At 38.5% G+C, this 18,278-nt stretch overlaps 1 protein-coding gene and 1 pseudogene across 49 annotated transcripts in view; one reads left to right on the plus strand and one right to left on the minus strand.

The window, feature by feature from the left end:
- Nucleotides 1–18,278, minus strand: part of CPLANE1 (ciliogenesis and planar polarity effector complex subunit 1) — a 173,708-nt gene that overhangs the window by 49,412 nt on the left and 106,018 nt on the right. For all 49 annotated transcript variants that reach the window (XM_047417575.1, XM_047417572.1, XM_047417573.1 and 46 more), the window contains 4 exons: nt 17,230–17,400; nt 14,260–14,290; nt 13,640–13,768; nt 164–329 (listed from right to left, as the gene is read on the minus strand). In XM_047417575.1, coding sequence (XP_047273531.1) covers nt 164–329; nt 13,640–13,768; nt 14,260–14,290; nt 17,230–17,400 — 497 coding nt within the window. The remainder of the gene's footprint in view (nt 1–163; nt 330–13,639; nt 13,769–14,259; nt 14,291–17,229; nt 17,401–18,278) is intronic.
- RBISP2 (RBIS pseudogene 2) lies at nt 5,318–5,819 on the plus strand (annotated as a pseudogene).

The following is an 18,278-nucleotide window of genomic DNA, read 5'->3' on the forward strand; positions in this document are numbered from 1 at the left end:
TAAGATAATTTATTAACTTTTCCTGACTTAAGTAAAACATTTACTTTTCTATATGCCAAATTACAAATGTATCCAAATTATGTTAATCTTTTTCTTAAAATTTTGCCAGGAAAGTAATTACACATATTCTGTAATTCCATTACCCTTGACATGGCAGACTTACTGGATTGCTTCTGGGACAGAAAGGATCATGTTCTTGCCCTCTCTTTTCTGCCAGCTCATTTAAGTACTTTGCCATTCTTTCTTTTCGTTTTCTTTTCATCCAGGCTTGAATCTCTCTTCTTTCCTTGTCAGTTCTTTGTGAATGTCTGCCAGAATAATGCTGAATTCTGAGAAATTTAACAAGCAAGACATCATTTGCTTTTAAATTTGTTAAGCAGATAAGATATATCATGACTAAACACTATTTATCCGGAAATATTTTGCCCCATCTTCAAAAGTAGTATATACTTATGTTCTCTAGTCAACTCACTCCAATTTGTTACCTGAACTCCACTGAAAATGGACTCAGAAAGCTAACAACTTCTTTATAACATTTACCTTAAACTCGATTTTCCCTTCTTCTTTAAACTCTATCTTACCTGAGTCTTTTCCTAACTCTCAGAAAACTATATAGCCTCCTGCATTGGCTCCTTTCTTCTCTGCTCACTGCTTCAAAATTAATTATCTTAAAGGTTCTCCTTTTGACTTTTTTTAAACTTTTTAATTTTGTGGGTACATAGTAGATGTATATATTTATAGAGTACATGAGATATTTTGATACAGGTATGCAATGCATAATAAACACATCATGTAAAATGGGGAGGTTTCCACTTCTTTATCTATTTAACTTATTCCCTGCACTATCTCTATCACTTTCAAAACTTCTAATACAGGGCTGGGCTCAGTGGCTCACACCTGTAATCCCAGAACTCTGGGAGGCCAAGGCAGGCAGACTGCTTTAGCCCAGGAGTTCAAGACCAGCCTGGGCAAGATGATGAGATGTCATCTCTATTAAAAAAAAAATTAGCCAGGTTGAATGGCACATGCCTGAAATCCCAGCTACTCAGGATGCTGAGGTGGGTGGGAGGATCACTTGAGCCTGGGAGGTCGAAGCTGCAGTGAGCAGTGACTGTGCCACTGCATTCCAGCCTGGGTGACAGAGGGAGACTGTCTCAAAAAAACAAAAAAATTGTAACACAGAGATGACTTCCAACAGCTGCCCTTATGGATCTACTCCCATGCTTAGGTTCATGCCACACTTTCCATAGTCTGGCCCAAATTAATGGACTAAGCATGGCAGGGATACTGTGAAAGGCCCATTGCTGCAAGACACAGGTGACTCTGTGGGTGACTTGGCCTGAGGTTTTACCATTGACCTGGCTGAAACATTCTTAAAACTACACAGTGCACTGAGACTCTGTCTCCCCTACCCTCTTTCCCTCTCCTTTACCGGGAGGGCTGAGAGCTGCATCATAGTCTGATGCTTCTCCTTACTTCTTCCCTGCATTCCGCCATCCTCTCACAAGCATTTTCCCCAGTAAATCTCTTCTACAGCTAATCCAACCTTAGCTTCTGCTTCTTGGAGGATCTGAACTAACACACATGCAGTAGGAGTGGTCTGAGAAAATGGGTGGTGCAAAATGGGGATTTGGGGCAAGGTGCAGTGGCATGCACCTGTAGTCCCAGCTACTTGGGAGGCTGAAGTGGGACAGTCGTGAATTCAAGCCCAGCTTGGGCAAAATAGCAAACCTCCATCTCCAAAAAAGAAAATTTTAAAAAGTTTTTTTTTAAAAGATGGGGACTTGAGACAGATGCATCACCCAGTGATTGAAAAAGACACCCTCCTAAACAGAAGGCCAGTCACAAATACAAACAATATAGTTTATTCTGAATATCTGCTTTCCTTTTGAGACTCTGATATCTTAATACATGGCAGGCAGTATCTCCCCAGTAAAACCCCAGGCACTGAATTTCTAATGGGCTTGCCTGGTAGACATTTCACACATGTTGTCACAACTTGTTACTGGAGGAATTAAGTGCATTCTGTGCGACCCCACTGGGAAAAGACTCTTAGAAGCTGGTGTCTGATTTTCCCTGGAATTTACTCCATGTACCTTTTGCCTCCTGTTAGGATAAATTATAGCCATGAAAACGACTATTTGCTGAGTTCTGTGCATCCTCCTAGGTGATTTCTGAACCTGGAGGTGATCTTGGGGACCCCCAGCACAGGGTCAGATCTACATCAGCACTGCAGTATGATAGTTGTCCCCAGTTTTATTGCATCCTCCCTTTTTCCCTTTCAGGCATTTCTCCAAATAAATCTCTTGCTCATCAAAATCCCATCTGCTTTGCAGAGGACTTAAAACTAATATACCGATGAATATTACCACTCGATGTTCTGGATGTTCTTCTGCCACCTTATAATCTAAAACTGCATTCTCTTTTTTATTTAATTTTTTTTTTTTTTTTTTTGGAGATGGAGTTTCGCTCTTGTTGCTCAGGCTGGAGTGTAATGGCACGATCTTGGCTCACTGCAACCTCTGCCTCCCGGGTTTAAGCGATTCTCCTGCCTCAGCCTCCCGAGTAGCTGAGATTACAGGCTTGCACCACCACGCCCGGCTTTTTGCATTTTTAGTAGAAACGGGGTTTCACCATGTTAGTCAGGCTGGTCTCAAACTCCTGACCTCAGGTGATCCGCCCACCTTGGCCTCCCAAAATGCTGGGATTATAGGCATGAGCCACCGAGCCCAGCCATTATTTAATTAAATTTATTTATTTATTTATTTATTTGTGTTTTTGAAATCTCATCTCTACCAAAACTATAAAAATTAGCTGGGTGCAGTGGCACACATCTGTGGTCACAGCTACTTGGAGGCTAAGGTGGGAGAATCACTTAAGCCTGGGGAGGTTGAGGCTGCAGTAAGCCATGATTGTGCCACTGCACCCCAGCCTGGGTGACAGAGTGAGATCCTGTCTCAAAAAACAAACAAACAAACAAAAGATATATTATGTCCTTCTCAGGGAAGGAAGCAAAATTAACAGAATACAGGATTTAAAAGATATTTTTATTACAAAAAATTTTTTTTGAGATTGGGTTATGAGACTGGCTAATTTTTGTATTTTTGGTAGAGATGGGGTTTCCCTATGTTGCCCCTGTATTCTTTATCCTGCTAAATAAATCACCATCAACTCAGTCACCCAAGTAAAAAAGCTGTCACTCTTACCACCTGATAGCCTCCAAATGTTTACTTACACCTATTACCCTACACTCTCCATTCTGATCACCTCATCTCTAAACTACTGAAGTAAGTCTTCTAACTGGCTCTAATTTGTATCTTAAAGCCCTGTGCTGCGTGCAGATGGTGTCACCTGGAGCTTAAGGACCTGAATGCATGTATCACTGCTGAAAGAAATCACAAATAACAATACAAATGGAAACATATCCCATGCTCATGGATGGGTAGAATCAATATTGTGAAAATGACCAATGCAATTCCTATCAAAATACCACCATAAGGGCCAGGTGGCTCACACCTGTAATCCCAGCACTTTGGGAGGGGCCGAGATGGGTGGATCACCTGAGGTCAGGAGCTCAAGACCAGCCTGGCCAACATGGCAAAAACCCATCTCTATTAAAAATGAACAAATTAGCCAGGTGTGGTGGCATGGACCTGTAATCCCAGCTACTAGGGAGGCTGAGGCAGAAAAATTGCTTGAACCCAGGAGGCAGAGGTTGCAGTGAGCTGAGATTGTGCCACTGTACTCCAGCCTGGGCAACTCTGTCAAAAAAAACCAAAAAAAAACAAAAAAAAAATCATCATTCTTCACCGAACTGGAAAAGACAATCCTAAAATTCATATGGAACCAAAAAAGAGCCTGTACAGCCAAAGCAAGACAAAGCAAAAAGAATAAATCTGGAGGCATCACATTATGACTTCAAACTATACTATAAGGCCATAGTCACCAAAACAGCATGGTACTGGTATAAAAATAGGCACGTAGACCAATGGAACAGAATAGAGAACCCAGAAATAAACCCAAATACTTACAGCCAACTGATCTTTGACAAAACAAACAAAAACATAAAGGGGGAAGGACACTCTATTCAACAAATGGTGCTGGGATAATTGGCAAGCCACATGTAGAAGAATAAAACTGGATCCTCATCTCTCACCTTATACAAAAATCAACTCAAGATGTATCAAGGATTTAAATCTAAGACCTGAAACCATAAAAATTCTAGAAGATAACATCAGAAAAACCCTTCTAGACACTGGCTTAGGCAAAGGCTTCATGATGAAGAACCCAAAAGCAAATGCAACAAAAACAATGATAAATAGGTGGAACTTAAGCTAAAAAGTTTCTGCACAGCAAAAGAAACAATCAGCAGAGTAAACAGACAACCCAGAGTGAGAGAAAATCTTCACAATCTATACATCCGACAAAGAACTAATATCCAGAATATACAAGGAACTCAAACAAATAAGCAAGAAAAAAAAATTCCATCAAAACAATAGAGTTAAGGCATGACAAGACAATTCACAAAAGGAGATATACAAATGGCCAACAAACATATGAAAAAATGCTCAACATCGCTAATGATCAGGGAAATGCAAATAAAAAACCACAATGCAATGCCATCTTCTGCAAGAATGGACATAATCAAAACATCAAAAAATAATAGATGTTGGCAGGGATGCGGTTAAAAGGGAACATTTTTATACTGCTGGTGGGAATGTAAACTAGTACAACCACTATGGAAAACAGTGTGGATATTCCTTAAAGAACTAAAAGTAGAACTACCATTTGATCCAGCAATCCCACTACTGGGTATCTACCCAGAGGAAAAGAAGTCATTATATGAAAAAGATACTTACACACGCATGTTTATAGCAGCACAATTCGCAATTGCAAAAATATGGAACCAGCCCAAATGCCCATCAAGCAATGAGTGGATAAAGAAATTGTGGTACACATATACACCATGTCATACTATTCAGCCATAAAAAGGAATGAAATAACGGCATTCGCAGCAACCTGGATGGAATTGGAGACCATTATCCTAAGTGAAATAACTCAGGAATGGAAAACCAAACATTGTATGCTCTCACTCATAAGCTATGAGGAGGCAAAGGCATAAGAATGATAACAATGAACTTCAGGGACTTGGGAGAAAGGGTGGGAGGTGGGTGAGGAATAAAGACTACAAATTGGGTACAGTACATACTGTTCAGGTTGATGGGTGCACCAAAATCTCACAAATCATCACTGAAGAACTTACTCATGTAACCAAATACCACCTGTTCCCCCAAAACCTATGGAAATTAATTTAAAAAAAAAGAACCTGCATGTGAGTATCAAAGACAATGGCCAAGAACAAATTAAGAGGGCAGAAGTCCAGGAACGTATTTCACATGGTCAGCCAAAACAACTTTATAAGGCTAAAAACAAAGCAAAGCCAGTTACTACTCATCTTAAAATAAATGTTATGAATGATGAAAAGTTAACAATGTTAATAAAGCATTTGTAAATATACAAAAGGAACTAAACTTCTCAAAAGCCCTTTCTCTTGAACCTCTGCAAAAAGAACCAATTCCTCAGAAGCGTCATGAAAGCAAACCCGTTAATGTTGATGAAGCTGTAATACAGTTGTGATAAAGTGTAATACAGTGGTGATGCATCTAATTCCCCATAAAAGACCAATACATTATATGTTTTATACAATTTTATTTTTAAAAATCTTAATGTGCAGGCATTGGCACATTTTAAAAACGAACTGCATAAACAGATCTTTCCTCCTATCTAGGAAAAATGGAATGTCAGAAGTCAACAAAATGGATAAACTTAAAGTGCTAAAACAGAAGGCACTTCACCAAATCTGTTCACTGAAACAGTTATATATCCTTGCTTGCATCTTTCACGTTATAGGCTGCAGTGAATGTCTGTCTGGATAGAAGAACATACAGAAATAGTTTCACGGCAGTAAAAATGTAAGTCGAAGAAGTGATGAGTACTTTGCCAACGTATTTTGTTTTTGATAACCTTCCTTTGTTTTTGATAACTTTCCTTTTATAAGTGGAGAAAACAGGATTCAGAATTGAAAGAAAAGTTGAAATCGCAGAATGCAGTTATTTGGGGGATGGGGAGGTTGGTAGATATTAAATCGGTTTTCCCCTGAAGCAAAATGAAAAGAAAAAAAGCGCTTTCTACCACACCCTACTGCGTGTCAATAGGTTGAACTCAGTGATTCCCTCTGGTCTTCACAGTCAGCTAGTCTCACTCTCCCCTTCTAATGCACAAACTCTAGCTACATCTAATTCCTTGCCCTTCACTTATAAATACAAGAACTACTGTGATTGCCTTCTTTCACTGACTTTCTTCCCCTGAGCTCCCACAAACACTGATATAACTTGGTCTTAGAGCTCTATCTCCAAGAGCAGAAACTGTATTTAATTTTTTTTTAGTAAAAAAAAATTTTTTTTTTTGAGACGGAGTTTCGCTCTAGTCGCCCAGGCTGGAGTGCAGTGGCATGGTCTTGGCTCACTGCAACCTCCACCTCCCAGGTTCAAGCGATTCTCCTGCCTCAGCCTCCGAAGTAGATGGGATTACAGGTGCCCACTACCACACCCAGCTAATTTTTTGTATTTTCAGTAGAGACGGGGTTTTGTCACGTTGGACAGGCTGGTCTCGAACTCCTGACCTCCTGATCCGCCCACCTCAGCCTCCCAAAGTGCTGGGATTATAGGCGTGAGCCACCGCGCCAGGCCAAATATTTTTATAGAGATGAGGTTTTGCTACATTGCCCAGGCTGGTCTCAAACTCCTGAGCTCAAATGATCCTCCCACCTCAGCCTCGAAAGTGCTGAGATTACAGGTGTGAGCTATCGCATCCAGTCAATATTTAATTTTTATTCTAATTATTGACATTTAATAGATTACTGTTAACACGATCATTAACTTAACAAAACAACTGAAGGTAACTAAATGCATTAGTTTAGGAAGTTAGGGTTTAACATGGTCTTAATATAAGGTTATATATAATACAGCAGATACATCGAATAATAGAAATTAAAATAATTAAATAGAAATTAGTGGAATCCTTTTTCGTTTTTGTACAATATTTTCTGGTAATAGAAAAATATTGTTACCAGAAAATAATGAGGTCTTATAAGTTCAATAATAACTTCTTTTGAAAACAAAATGACTTCGAGAAGTGTTTGTAATGTCTTTGCCCACTTTTTAATCTAGTTGTTCTTTGCTTATTCGATTGTTCAAGTTTTTTTTTTTTTTTTTTTTTTTTTGAGACAGAGTCTTGCTCTGTCGCCCAGGCTGGAGTGCATTGGCGCAATCTCGGCTCACTGCAAGCTCCACCTCCCAAGTTCACGCCATTCTCCTGCCTCAGCCTCCCGAGTAGCTGGGACTACAGGCGCCCGCCACCACGCCCGGCTAATTTTTTTGTATTTTTCAGTAGTGACGGGGTTTCACCATGTTAGCCAGGATGGTCTCAATCTCCTGACCTTGTAATCCGCCCGCCTTGGCCTCCCAAAGTGCTGGGATTACAGGCGTTGAGCCACCGCCCCCAGCCCAATTGTTCAAGTTCTTTGTAGATTCTGCATATTAGATCATTGTTGGATGCAAAGGTTGTGAATATTTTCTCCCATTCTGTAGGCTGTCTGTTTACTCTGTTGATTATTTTGCTGTGCAGAAGCTCTTTAATTACATCCCACTTGTCAATTTTTGTTTTTGTTACAACTGCTTTTGAGAACTTAGTCATAAATTCTTTCCCAAGGCCAGTGTCCAGAATGGTATTTCCTAAGTTTCTTCTAGGATTCTTATGGTTTGAGGTCTTATATTTAAATGTTTTATTCATCTTGTGTTAATTTTTGTATATGGTGAAAGGTAGGGGTCCAGTTTCATTCTTCTGCGTATGGCTAACCAGCTCTCTCACAACCTTTATAGGGAGTCATTTCCCCTGCCTTTCCCCCTAATTTTTGTCAACTTTGTCAAAGATCAGATGGCTGTAGGTATGCAACTTTATTTCTGAGTTCTCTATTCTGTTCCATTGGTCTGTATGTCCATCTTTGTACCAGTACCATGCTGTTTTGGTTAGTGTAACCTTGTATAATTTGAAGGCAGGTAACATGATGACTCTGGCTTTGCTCTTTTTACTCAGGATTGCTTTGGCCATTTGGACCCTGTTTTGGTTCCATATGAATTTTAGAATAGTTTTTTTTTCTAATTCTGTTTAAAATGATATTGGTAGCTTGATAGAAATAGTGTTGAATCTATAGATTGCTTTGGGCAGTATGGTTATTTTAAGGATATTGATTCTTCTGTGAGCATGGGATGTTTTCTATGTTTTTATGTCACCTGCGATTTCTTTCAGAAGTGTTTCGTAGTTCTCCTTGCTGAGATCTCTCACCTCTTTGGTTAGAGGTGTGTGTGTGTGTGTGTGTGTGTATGTGTGTGTGTCTGTTGTAAATGGGACTGCATTCTTGCTTTGGTTCTCAGCTTGAATGTTATTGGTGCATAGAAATGCTACTGATTTTTGTACATTGATTTTGTATCCTGAAACTTTACTGAAGTCATTTATCAGTTCTAGGTGGCTTTTGGAGGAGTCTTTAGGTTTTCTAGGTATAGAATCATACTGTCATAGAAAAGAGATAATCTGAATTCTTATTTTCCTATTTGGATGCCTTACGTTTATTTCTCTTACCTGATTCCTCTGGCTAGGACTTCCAGTACTGTGTTAAATAGAAGTGGTAAGATTAAGCATTCTTGTTTTGTACCAGTTCTTAAGGTGAATGCTTCCAGCTTTTGCCCGTTCAGTAAGATGTTGGCTGTGGGTTTGTCATAAATGGCTATTAATCACATTTATTGATTTGTGTATGTTGAACCAATCTTGCATCCTAGAAATGAGGCCTACTTGATTATGGTGAATTAACAATCACCACAATTTGATGTGCTGTTTTCGGTTTGCTATATTTTGTTGAAGATTTTTTACTTCTATATTCATCAGGGATATTGGCCTGTAGCTTTATTTTTTCCTTGGGTCTTCGCCAGGTTTTGGTATCAGGGTGATGTCACCTTCATAGAATGATTGGGGAGGAGTCTGTCCTCCTTGATTTTTTAAAAGAGTTTCAGTAGAATTCCCACCAGTTCTTCTTTTATGTCTGGCAGAATTTGGCTGTGAATCCATCTGGTCTGGGGCTTTTATTGGTTGGTGGGTTTTTTATTACTGATTCCATTTCAGGACTTCATATTGGTCTGTTCAGGGTTTCAAATTTCTTCCTGATTCAATGTTGAGGGGTTGTGTGTTTCCAGGAATTTATCCATTTCCTCTAGATTTTCTACTTTGTGCATACAGGCATTCATAAAAGTCTCTGAGGATCTTTTGTATTTCTGTGGGATCAGTTGTAATGTCACCTTTGTTGTTTTCTGATTGTGCTTATTTGGATCTTCTCTCTTTTTTTCTTTGTTAATGTAGCTGGTGGTCTATCAATCTAGTTTATCCTTTCTAATAACCAACTTTTGGTATTGTTGATTCTTTGTATGGATTTTTGGTTCTCGATTTTGTTCACTTCTGCTCTGATTTTAGTTACTTATTTTCTTTTGCTAGCTCTGGGGTTAATTTGTTCTTGTTTTTCTAGTTCCTCTAGGCGTGATGTTAGATTACTAATGTGAAATCATTCTAACTTTTTGATATAGGTGTTTAGTGCTATAAACTTTCCACTTTTTTTTTTTTTTTTTTGAGAAAGTTTTGCTCTTGTTGCCCAGGCTGGAGTGCAATGGCATGATCTTGGCTTGCCACAACCTCTGCCTCCCAGGTTCAAGTGCTTCTCCTGCCTCAGCCTCCCGAGTAGCTGGGATTACAGGCATGTGCCACCATGCCCAGCTAATTTTGTATTTTTAGTAGAGATGGGGTTTCTCCATGTTGGTCAGGCTGGTCTCCAACTCCCAACCTCAGGTGATCCACCTGCCTCAGCCTCCCAAAGTGCTGGGATTACAGATGTGAGCCACCATGCCCAGCCTCTAAATTTTCCTCACAATGGTGCTTTTGCTGCATCCCAGAGATTTTGGTATGTTGTGTCTTCGTTTTCATTTATTTCAAATAATTTTCTTATTTTTGCCTTAATTTCATTGTTTACCCAAAAGTCATTCAGGAGCAAGTTGTTTAATTTCCATGTAATAGTGTGGTTTTGAGAGGTCTTCTTGGTATTGATTTCTATTTTTATGCTTCTATGATCTGAAAGTATGGTTGGTATGTGTATTAGTCTGTTCTCACACTGCTAATAGAGACACACCTGAGATTGGATAATTTATAAAGGAAAGAGGTTTAATTAAGTCACAGTTAAGCATGGCTGGGGAGGCCTCAAGAAACTTATAATCATCGCGGAAGGGGAAGCAAACATGTCCTTCTCCACATGGTGGCAGGAAGGAGAAGAATGAGTGCCCAGCAAAAGGGGAAGTCCCTTATAAAACCATCAGATTGGCCAGGTGCAGTGGCTCACACCTGTAATCCCAGCACTTTGGGAAGTCGAGGTGGGCGGATCACAAGGTCAGCAGATTGAGACCATCCTGGCTAACATGGTGAAACCCTGTCTCTACTAAAAATATAAAAATTAGCTGGACGTGGTGGCACGTGCCTGTAATCCCAGCTACTCGGGAGGCTGAGGCAGGAATAACTTGAACCAGGGAGTCAGAGGTTGCAGTGAGCTGAGATCACACCATGGCACTCCAGCCTGGCAAAAGAGCGAGACTCTGTCTCAAAAAAAAAAACCAACAAAAAACCCAACAGATCTCGTGAAATAGTGTTTTTACTATCACGAGAACAGGATGGGGCAAAACACCTCCGTGATTAAATTATCTCCACCAACATGTGGGGATTATGGGAACTACAATTCAAGATGAGATGTGGATGAGGAAACAATCAGACCATATCATTCTGCCCCGGCCCTTTCCAAATCTCATGTCCTCATAATTCAAAACACAATCATGTCCTTCCAACAGTCCCCCACGGTCTTAACTCATTCTAGCATTAACTCAAAAGTCCAAGTCCAAAGTCTCATCTGAGACAAGGCAAGACCCTCCTGCCTGTAAAATCAAAAGCAATTTAGTTACTTCCTAGATACAATGGAGGTACAGGCATTGGGTAAAAATACCCGGTCCAAATAGGAGAAATTAGCCAAAACAAAGGGGCTATCAGCCTCATACAAGTCCAAAATCCAATAGGGCAGTCATTAAACCTTAAAGTTCCAAAATGATCTTCTTTGACTCCATGTCTCACATCCAGGTCATGCTGATGCAAGAGGTGGGTTCCCATGGTCTTGGACAGCTCTGTCCCTGTGGCTTTGCAGGGTACAGCCCTCTGTCCCAGCTGCTTTCACAGCCAGCATTGTCTGTGACTTTTCCAGGCACATGGTGCAAGCTGTCGGTAAATCTACCATTCTGGGGTCTGAAGGACGATGGCCCTCTTCTCACAGCTCCACTAGGCAGTGCCCCAGAAGGGAATTTGTGTGGGGGCTCCAACCCCACATTTCCCTCCCACACTGCCCTAGCAGAGGTTCTCCATGATAGCTATACCCTTGCAACAAACTTCTGCCTGGCTTTTCCATACATCCTCTGAAATCTACTAGAAGGTTCCCAAACTTCAATTCTTGACTTCTATTCACCCACAAGCTCAACACCACGTGGAGGCTGCCAAGGCTTAGGGCTTACACCTTCTGAAGCCACAGCCCAAGCTGTATCTTGGCGCCTTCTAGCCACAGCTAGAGAGGATAGGATGCAGGGCACCAAGTCCCTAGGCTGCACACAGCAAGGAGGGCCTGGGCCTGCCCCAGGAAACCATTTTTCCCTCCTAGGCCTCTGGGCCTGTGATGGGAGGGACTGCCATGAAGGTCTCTGACATGCCCTGGAGATATTTTCCCCATGGTCTTGGTGACTAAAATTTGGCTTCTCATTATTTATGGAAATTTCTGCACTGAGCTTGATTTCTCCCCAGAAAATGGGTTTTTCTTTTATATTGCACTGTCAGCCTGCAAATTTTCCAAACTTTCATGCTCTGCTTCCTCTTGAATGCTTTGCCACTTAGAAATTTCTTCCACTGGATACCCTAAATAATCTCTCTCAAGTTCAAAGTTCCACAAATCTCTAGGACAGAGGCAAAATGCTACCAGTCTCGTTGCTAAAACATAATAAGAATCACCTTCTCCAGTTCCCAACAAGTTCCTCTTCTCCATCTGAGACCACCTCAGCCTGGACGTTATTGTCCATATTGCTATCAGGCTTTTGGTCAAAGCCATTCAACAAGTCTCTAGGAAGTTCCAAACTTTCCCACATCTTCCTGTCTTCTTCTGAGTCCTACAAACTGTTCCAACCTCTGCCTGTTACCCAGTTCCAAAGTCGCTTCCACATTTTCAGGTATTTTTACAGTAGCACCCCACTCTCTGCAGCACCAATTTACTATATTAGTCTGTTCTTACACTGCTAAATAAGACATACCTGAGACTGAACAATTTATAAACGAAAGAGGTGTAATTAACTCACAGTTCAGCATGGCTGGGGAGGCCTCAGGAAACTTACAATCATGGCAGAAGGGGAAGCAAACATGTCCTTCTTCACATAATGGCGGGAAGGAGAAGAATGAGTGCCCACTGAAGGGGGAAGCCCCTTATAATACCATCAGTTCTTGTGACAACTCACTCACTAGCATGAGAACAGGAAGGGGCAAACTGTCCCCATGATTCAATTATCTCCACCTGTTCCCTCCCATGACACATGGGAATTATGGGAACTACAATTCAAGCTGAGATTTGGATGGGGACACAGCCAAACCATATCAGTCAGATATCAGGGTTGTTTTTTTTTTTTTAATTTATTGAGACTTGCTTTAAGGCCAAGCATTTGGTCGATCTTGGAGTATATTCTGTGTGCAGATGAAAAGAATGTATATTCTGTGGTTGATGGGTGGAGCGTTCTACAGATGTTTATTAGGTTCAATTGCTCAAGTGTCTAATTTAATTCCAGAATTTGTTAGTTTTCTGCTTTGATGATATGTCCAACTTTGTCATTGGGGTGTTGAAGTCCCCCACTATTACTACGTGGTTGCCTAAATAGTTTCATAGGTCTATAACTACTTATTTTATGAGTCTAGGTGCTCCAATGTTGTATGCTTATATATTTAGGATAGTTAAGTCTTCTTGTTGAATTGAACTCTTTATCATTATGTCCCTTTCTTTGTCCTTTTTTACTGCTGCTGGTTTAAAGTCTGTTTTATCTGATATAAAAACAGCAGCCCCTGATCCTTTTTGTTTTCCATTTGCATGATAGATCAGAAAGCCTATTTAAAATGTATTCTAAGCGTTAATTTTTGGGTAAAGTGCTATGAGCTAATCATTAATTACTTCTAGTAAGAGACAGGATTAAATGTATGTTGTACTTAGAGTGATTCTTGGGAAAACCCACAGGATACAGTTATATACTATATATTGTTAGAGAAAAGGGAAGAATGACACATATACATAACAAAACATGAAAAAAAAATCTATTCTAAGCTTCAGATTTGTTTCATAAAAATCACATTAAAATATGACAAATTTTGAACATTCTTGAATGAGAAGCATTTTAAACAGGTTAAAAATGAATTATTCAATGATTACCTGGAGGTGCCCATAGCTTGTTCTGTTAAGCCAAGTTCTTCACTGGAAACTCCGTCTTTAATTATAAGGTCATCAATAATGTCTGCAATATCAGTCAATCCAGTCATCTGGAGCGGATGTACTGAAACACTTCATTTGCAAATGTAATTTAAGAAATATAAATCAGTATCTACAACTTAATTACATTAAGCAAAAATAAACATGTAACAAATGAACACAAAATGATAAACATATATCTACTGTTCCTTCTATTTCTGTAATTCTAGTATCTCTCAGTGAAAAAGACTAATCAACAAAAAGTAATGACTTGGTAGATTTTCTTTAAAAAGGAAACATATGGTCCAGAAGAAAACCCCTATAGATTCTGTTTAAATTTAATCCATATTTATATAAGAAAATGTAGTAAATATAGTCTATTGAATTCTAACTACTTGTGCTAAAACAGTAAGAGATATAACAATCCTCAATTTCTTAAAAATATTCCATACCCAATGAAAACTTATATTCCTTTAAACCACAAAGATATATATAATGTAAAAATTCACACACATATGAACAAAATTTTCACTATCTACACCCAACTTTAAAGAAAATTGTGAATTAACTCTTAAGATATTTACCTCTCACACAATTCATCACTGCTATTCATACCTAAAAAAAAAATCATTATTAATAAAAATTTTGGGTTTTTTTTTGCTTTCAATTGTTAATCTAATTTAGAAATTATATAACCAGAAATTAAATTAAAATACTTTTAAACTTCCAAATTGGTTTATAGATATATATTTACAGCATATTTATCCTCTTCCTGAATATGCTATCTGATAGTGAATACTGTCTACATATTTTTTGAGACCATGTCTCACTCTGTCACCCAGGCTAAGTGCAGCGACATGGTCATGGCATACTACAACCTCTGCCTCCGGGCTCAAGCAAACCTCCCACCTTAACCTCCTGAATGGCTGGGATTACAGGTGTGTGCCGCAATGCAGGCTAATTTTTGTATTTTTTGTAGACACGGGGTCTTGCTATGTTGCCCAGGTTGGTCTCGAACTCCTGAGCTCAAGTGATTCACCTGCCTTGGCCTCCCAAAGTGCTTGGATTACAGGCATGGGCCATCGCACCCAGCCAGTATAAGATTATTACTTTTTCTATCCTGAGTACTCAGTGTAATATGTCAGAAGGCACAACCCTTCTTTGCTTAGTACACAGTTTAGAGTACTGGAGTGCAATTTACTTTATAAAATATACACAAACAAAAAACAAATCTCTGGTGATCTGAAAGTAATATATTTTAGAAAATATCTTATTTAAATCCGAGAAGCAATTTACCTGTAAGAATGTGTCCCAAAATATAATTTTTAAGTCTTGTCCAGTATTAACTATATGTCTTCAGAGAAAAACACTTAATCTATTCAGTCTTCTATATGTTTCATTCTAAATGTTTAATTCTTCTATATGTTTAATTCTAAAAACAGGATTGAATTAATATAGGGAAAAGTGTTCTGACATCTCTTCTCAAAAAATATTCCTTAAGATTTTATTATCTTGAGATAAACCAAATCTGTCCCTAAGACTTACACATTCACATGGTTTTAATATGAAATACCTGTTTTCTTGAAAACATATTGTTCTATTTAATTTATTAACCTCCAAATCAAGGATTTTATTTTCGTTCTCAGAATCTGGGCATTTGTGGGTTAAGAGCAACTAATTCAATTTAACTAAGAGAGAAATATTTCACATAAATCTAAGATTAGCGTAATAGTAATAGTTCTACCCCTTATAGCTTTTTACTAGGTAGAAAAAGATATTAATCCTATGTACTTAGGAAAGAGAAGGTCCATTAAAGAGACACTTTCTATCAGTATTTGAGAGGCCCCTGCTGGCCTATTCACGAAAAAAAGCTTGAAGGATTCTCTTCCAATAACGACTGGGCTGCATATGGGGAAGTAGGTGAGATTAGCGAAGATGGTGACCTCTTGGGTTAAAGATTGAAGTGTTTGTCATCAAAGGTTGGTAAGTAACAAGTTGCCCTTTCTCCTATTAGTAACCCAGGATCACTAACCCACGGCCACAGTACCTGTTTATTACCAAGTAAACGTTCTTAAAACATTATGAGATTTATGCATGGACTTTTTTTTTTTTTCTAGCTCATCAGCTATTGTTAGTGTTAGTGTATTTTATGTGTGGCCCAAGACAATTCTTCTTCCAATGTGGCTCAGGGAAGCCAAAAGACTGGAGTCTAGACTTTGACATCAGACCTAGTTATACCTTTGCCTTAGACTCTGGCAACACTAAACAACCACGTTCCCCCTCTCCTCCTCTTTTACCCACCTAGTCACTGAGTACCATCAGTTACTAATTCAAAATGTCTCGTTTCTTCTATTTCTTTCCCACAACACTAGCCAGGCCCTCATTATTTCCCAGGTCAGATTTTAGTAGCCTCCTCAGTGGTCTCTATGCCTCCATTCTATTTTTCCTCAAAACCTCCTTGTTTTACTTCTCTGCTTGGAATTCTCCCATGTTCCCAAGGATAAAATGGAGTGTAAACTTCTCAGATATAATTAGAACCCTCTACCATCTAGCCATATGAGTCCTGTTTAACCTCATTTGTCAATCCTCCCCAGAGAAGAGAAGAGAAAAGCTATCAGTGACCAAGAAAATAAAACAAGATTCTCAGATGCTTTATATATGATACTCAGTCTTCACAACTTTGTGAAGTGGAAATTATTATCCCCATATGTTGATGACTAAAACACACATGGCATCTAGAAAGAACTGAGAAAATAATTACAAGATTTAAAGTCAGCTTCTTAATAGGTTTTCTTTTATTTAAGTAACAGTAATGCCATTTAAAATAGCATTTTTACTGTTTATATCACTTTAATAATGGTAATAGAACATATACTAAACACTCAGTAAAATCATTTTAATTGACCATCAATATCTGAGAGAAAAAAAATATTTCCAAGCCACTGTCAGTGATTGAACTGATGTATTTACTATGTTCTATTATTCATAGGACAAAGTATATTCATTAGGACTAAAGAATAACAGTTTTAATTGCTACCTCCAAATGAAATAAAACAAAAAGTGGCACTAAATCCTTCTAAATCTCAATCTCCTCAACTGTAAAATGGAGATAATAATAGTGTCTACACCTCATAGATCAGGCTTAAACCAGAATCTATGCATATAAAACAGTGATGTTTGGCACATGGTAGAGGCTCAAGAAATGATGGCTACTATTTTGTTTTCAAATTAAAATTCAAAGTTCTTATAATTGGAAGAGTTTTAATTTTTCAATTTTTGTAAAAATCAACTATTACAGTAATTCCAGTTGCTATATATTTCATATTAATAAGTTACACCAAGATATGATACATAATTGCAGTATGTCTTATGAAGGTGACAAGATGTCACAGTTCTTCATGTGACTAGCAAAAGTTTTAACTTTCCTTCCCCTAAAATAAATATTACAAAATGACTTCACAAACCTTTCATAACTATATTCCCAGTAAATCATGTTCAGTAACATTATAATGGAGAATAAGAGTATGTGTAAATGAAAAAGTAAAGAACAATACCAGGAGAAGTAGTATTCTGATCACTGGAACTGGAAAGGCTGACAGCTGAATCGGCAGTAGGAAACACACAGGTTTTCTGACCAGAATAATTTTCTGTTATTGAAAATTCAGGTTCTGAAGTCTCCTTTTTGTCACTTTGATCTTCTTCATCCATATGGGTCAAAAAACGCACTAATCCAGAGTATATATTACAATTAAAATAAAATAGTAGAGGAAAAAAGATCACATGGAAAAGACAATTGCCACTATTTCCAACTGGCAACCCAGATATTAGAAGTTTGTCACATATTATGCTAATAGCTTTCTACTGTATAATGAATTTAATAAAAAATTTGAAGTTAAAGCTCTCCCACAGTAAATAAACAAGATTTATTAGACTGAGCTGAAGTACATAGGCCTATGCCCTTTCATAAAAACATAGACATGCTAAATTACAAAAAAAAATTTTAATATACGACCAATCTTTCTAAACAGAGAAATCCCATGGTGCCAGAAAAGAAAAAGGAACTCATAGCTGGAGCAGTAAGTGGGCAATGATGCTGGGATAGTCTACTGAGGAATAGGAGATGTGGTTCTGTACACTGCAATGAGGGAAAAACTGAGCTACCTTCATGTATCTTAGAGCACTGAAGGACAGCTTTGTCCATAAAATAGGAAAAAGAAAATCTCTCCCCTGGTGAAACAGCAAATAAGTTTTCTATCTGCATGGACAGCAGCTGAGAGAAAAATAAAAGTCAACTTTGAGAAATCAACACCCTGACTTGCCACAAGCATGAACAGGGTCTGAATTTCTACCATCAATAAAGTACAGCAACCCCAAGTGAAGAAACGTATACTAAAATTTGTTTCAATTTTTTCCTACTTCAACGATAGCAAAAAGCAAATGCAAAACTACTCCAAAGACAAACATATAATCTAGCAGAACTTCCACTAATGATAAGCCCATGATAAAAAATTACAATTCACACAAAGGAACAACCAACCATGAAAGACAGTCAGTATGCAGATTCAACAATTGATAATGTGCACATATGAAATACAATAATCAG

The sequence above is a fragment of the Homo sapiens genome, chromosome 5 (assembly GCF_000001405.40).
Source record: "Homo sapiens chromosome 5, GRCh38.p14 Primary Assembly".
NCBI lineage: Eukaryota > Metazoa > Chordata > Mammalia > Primates > Hominidae > Homo > Homo sapiens.